Raw genomic sequence first — 4,712 nt, 5'->3', positions numbered from 1 at the left:
GCCGGTTTTCAAAGGGAATGCTTCCAGTTTTTGCCCATTCAGTATGATATTGGCTGTGGGTTTGTAATAGATAGCTCTTATTATTTTGAAATACGTCCCATCAATACCTAATTTATTGAGAGTTTTTAGCATGAAGGGTTGTTGAATTTTGTCAAAGGCTTTTTCTGCATCTATTGAGATAATCATGTGGTTTTTGTCTTTGGCTCTGTTTATATGCTGGATTACATTTATTGATTTGCGTATATTGAACCAGCCTTGCATCCCAGGGATGAAGCCCACTTGATCATGGTGGATAAGCTTTTTGATGTGCTGCTGGATTCGGTTTGCCAGTATTTTATTGAGGATTTTTGCATCAATGTTCATCAAGGATATTGGTCTAAAATTCTCTTTTTTGGTTGTGTCTCTGCCCGGCTTTGGTATCAGAATGATGCTGGCCTCATAAAATGAGTTAGGGAGGATTCCCTCTTTTTCTATTGATTGGAATAGTTTCAGAAGGAATGGTACCAGTTCCTCCATGTACCTCTGGTAGAATTCAGCTGTGAATCCATCTGGTCCTGGACTCTTTTTGGTTGGTAAACTATTGATTATTGCCACAATTTCAGAGCCTGTTATTGGTCTATTCAGAGATTCAACTTCTTCCTGGTTTAGTCTTGGGAGAGTGTATGTGTCGAGGAATGTATCCATTTCTTCTAGATTTTCTAGTTTATTTGCGTAGAGGTGTTTGTAGTATTCTCTGATGGTAGTTTGTATTTCTGTGGGATCGGTGGTGATATCCCCTTTATCATTTTTTACTGTGTCTATTTGATTCTTCTCTCTTTTTTTCTTTATTAGTCTTGCTAGCGGTCTATCAATTTTGTTGATCCTTTCAAAAAACCAGCTCCTGGATTCATTGATTTTTTGAAGGGTTTTTTGTGTCTCTATTTCCTTCAGTTCTGCTCTGATTTTAGTTATTTCTTGCCTTCTGCTAGCTTTTGAATGTGTTTGCTCTTGCTTTTCTAGTTCTTTTAATTGTGATGTTAGGGTGTCAATTTTGGATCTTTCCTGCTTTCTCTTGTAGGCATTTAGTGCTATAAATTTCCCTCTACACACTGCTTTGAATGCGTCCCAGAGATTCTGGTATGTGGTGTCTTTGTTCTCGTTGGTTTCAAAGAACATCTTTATTTCTGCCTTCATTTCGTTATGTACCCAGTAGTCATTCAGGAGCAGGTTGTTCAGTTTCCATGTAGTTGAGTGGCTTTGAGTGAGATTCTTAATCCTGAGTTCTAGTTTGATTGCACTGTGGTCTGAGAGATAGTTTGTTATAATTTCTGTTCTTTTACATTTGCTGAGGAGAGCTTTACTTCCAACTATGTGGTCAATTTTGGAATAGGTGTGGTGTGGTGCTGAAAAAAATGTATATTCTGTTGATTTGGGGTGGAGAGTTCTGTAGATGTCTATTAGGTCTGCTTGGTGCAGAGCTGAGTTCAATTCCTGGGTATCCTTGTTGACTTTCTGTCTCGTTGATCTGTCTAATGTTGACAGTGGGGTGTTAAAGTCTCCCATTATTAATGTGTGGGAGTCTAAGTCTCTTTGTAGGTCACTGAGGACTTGCTTTATGAATCTGGGTGCTCCTGTATTGGGTGCATAAATATTTAGGATAGTTAGCTCCTCTTGTTGAATTGATCCCTTTACCATTATGTAATGGCCTTCTTTGTCTCTTTTGATCTTTGTTGGTTTAAAGTCTGTTTTATCAGAGACTAGGATTGCAACCCCTGCCTTTTTTTGTTTTCCATTGGCTTGGTAGATCTTCCTCCATCCTTTTATTTTGAGCCTATGTGTGTCTCTGCACGTGAGATGGGTTTCCTGAATACAGCACACTGATGGGTCTTGACTCTTTATCCAACTTGCCAGTCTGTGTCTTTTAATTGCAGAATTTAGTCCATTTATATTTAAAGTTAATATTGTTATGTGTGAATTTGATCCTGTCATTATGATGTTAGCTGGTGATTTTGCTCATTAGTTGATGCAGTTTCTTCCTAGTCTCGATGGTCTTTACATTTTGGCATGATTTTGCAGCGGCTGGTACCGGTTGTTCCTTTCCATGTTTAGCGCTTCCTTCAGGAGCTCTTTTAGGGCAGGCCTGGTGGTGACAAAATCTCTCAACATTTGCTTGTCTATAAAGTATTTTATTTCTCCTTCACTTATGAAGCTTAGTTTGGCTGGATATGAAATTCTGGGTTGAAAATTCTTTTCTTTAAGAATGTTGAATATTGGCCCCCACTCTCTTCTGGCTTGTAGGGTTTCTGCCGAGAGATCCGCTGTTAGTCTGATGGGCTTTCCTTTGAGGGTAACCCGACCTTTCTCTCTGGCTGCCCTTAACATTTTTTCCTTCATTTCAACTTTGGTGAATCTGACAATTATGTGTCTTGGAGTTGCTCCTCTCGAGGAGTATCTTTGTGGCGTTCTCTGTATTTCCTGAATCTGAACGTTGGCCTGCCTTGCTAGATTGGGGAAGTTCTCCTGGATAATATCCTGCAGAGTGTTTTCCAACTTGGTTCCATTCTCCACATCACTTTCAGGTACACCAATCAGACGTAGATTTGGTCTTTTCACATAGTCCCATATTTCTTGGAGGCTTTGCTCATTTCTTTTTATTCTTTTTTCTCTAAACTTCCCTTCTCGCTTCATTTCATTCATTTCATCTTCCATTGCTGATACCCTTTCTTCCAGTTGATCGCATCGGCTCCTGAGGCTTCTGCATTCTTCACGTAGTTCTCGAGCCTTGGTTTTCAGCTCCATCAGCTCCTTTAAGCACTTCTCTGTATTGGTTATTCTAGTTATACATTCTTCTAAATTTTTTTCAAAGTTTTCAACTTCTTTGCCTTTGGTTTGAATGTCCTCCTGTAGCTCAGAGTAATTTGATCGTCTGAAGCCTTCTTCTCTCAGCTCGTCAAAATCATTCTCCATCCAGCTTTGTTCTGTTGCTGGTGAGGAACTGCGTTCCTTTGGAGGAGGAGAGGCGCTCTGCGTTTTAGAGTTTCCAGTTTTTCTGTTCTGTTTTTTCCCCATCTTTGTGGTTTTATCTACTTTTGGTCTTTGATGATGGTGATGTACAGATGGGTTTTCGGTGTAGATGTCCTTTCTGGTTGTTAGTTTTCCTTCTAACAGACAGGACCCTCAGCTGCAGGTCTGTTGGAATACCCTGCCGTGTGAGGTGTCAGTGTGCCCCTGCTGGGGGGTGCCTCCCAGTTAGGCTGCTCGGGGGTCAGGAGTCAGGGACCCACTTGAGGAGGCAGTCTGCCCGTTCTCAGATCTCCAGCTGCGTGCTGGGAGAACCACTGCTCTCTTCAAAGCTGTCAGACAGGGACACTTAAGTCTGCAGAGGTTACTGCTGTCTTTTTGTTTGTCTGTGCCCTGCCCCCAGAGGTGGAGCCTACAGAGGCAGGCAGGCCTCCTTGAGCTGTGGTGGGCTCCACCCAGTTCGAGCTTCCCGGCTGCTTTGTTTACCTAAGCAAGCCTGGGCAATGGCGGGCGCCCCTCCCCCAGCCTCGTTGCCGCCTTGCAGTTTGATCTCAGACTGCTGTGCTAGCAATCAGCGAGATTCCGTGGGCGTAGGACCCTCCGAGCCAGGTGTGGGATATAGTCTCGTGGTGCGCCGTTTCTTAAGCCGGTCTGAAAAGCGCAATATTCGGGTGGGAGTGACCCGATTTTCCAGGTGCGTCCGTCACCCCTTTCTTTGACTCGGAAAGGGAACTCCCTGACCCCTTGCGCTTCCCAGGTGAGGCAATGCCTCGCCCTGCTTCGGCTCGCGCACGGTGCGCACACACACTGGCCTGCGCCCACTGTCTGGCACTCCCTAGTGAGATGAACCTGGTACCTCAGATGGAAATGCAGAAATCACCGTCTTCTGCGTCGCTCACGCTGGGAGCTGTAGACCGGAGCTGTTCCTATTCGGCCATCTTGGCTCCTCCCCCGGAGAACAACTTTTAAGATAGGAACAATTTTTCTCCTTCCTTGAATGAAAACTACATTATGTTCAGATTGACAACAAAGAACAGAACTAAAATGATCCACACACTTTCCAGGAGCATTCTAGATAGGTTGTAAGGTCAAAAACGAAATACATATGAGAGCATATTAAGGAGTCATTAGCATCATTATACCCAAATTCTAGAGCCTTAGGTATGGCCCATCATAGTGGTGTAAAAACAATCTGGCAAACTATCATTACATGGACTATTGCATTCTGAATATGCGCACCAAAATGGACTAGCAACCTGTCCCAGAAGTTCAAGCCATCTTGGACTGACTGCCAAGGAGACATTGGAAGTCACTTCTGGACTTGAGGAGTAAGAATGATTAAACACATACGGCTAAAGGAGATCAAGAAAAAAATTGACTTCATCTGCCCTGTATGTGAGAAAGGGGTGGAATATTAATTTGAAAAACTGCCCGAACATATTTCCAGGGCCTCTGCCAGTTTTCAGTGTTTAATGGAGAAGGTAATTGGGGGATATGAATTACCTAGAGGCATTTATCTATTTAGATGACATAATCATTTTTGGCAGGATTCTGGGAAAGCCAGAGCAAAGACTTAAAGTTAGCAAGGGCAGGGTTGATGATGTCCCTTGGTAAGTACAAATGCTGACAAAGCTTCATGAACTATGATATAAAGACACAGCGCAGAATAAATACTGTTTCTGGAAAAAAATACCTGTTAGCCCAAATGACAC

At 42.9% G+C, this 4,712-nt stretch overlaps 1 annotated feature.

Moving 5' to 3' along the window:
* Positions 3,683–4,306: an enhancer, noted in NCBI's record as "OCT4-NANOG-H3K27ac-H3K4me1 hESC enhancer chr3:108918367-108918990 (GRCh37/hg19 assembly coordinates)". NCBI's record gives its function as "activates a minimal SCP1, AML or CMV promoter by ChIP-STARR-seq in primed H9 embryonic stem cells {active_cell/tissue: H9 hESC(primed)}" and the evidence as "EXISTENCE:reporter gene assay evidence [ECO:0000049][PMID:30033119]".

The sequence above is a fragment of the Homo sapiens genome, chromosome 3 (genome assembly GCF_000001405.40).
Source record: "Homo sapiens chromosome 3, GRCh38.p14 Primary Assembly".
NCBI classification, from domain to species: Eukaryota; Metazoa; Chordata; class Mammalia; order Primates; family Hominidae; genus Homo; species Homo sapiens.
The sequence above is the reverse complement of the archived record's forward strand: the minus strand, read 5'-3'. Positions and strand labels throughout refer to the sequence as shown.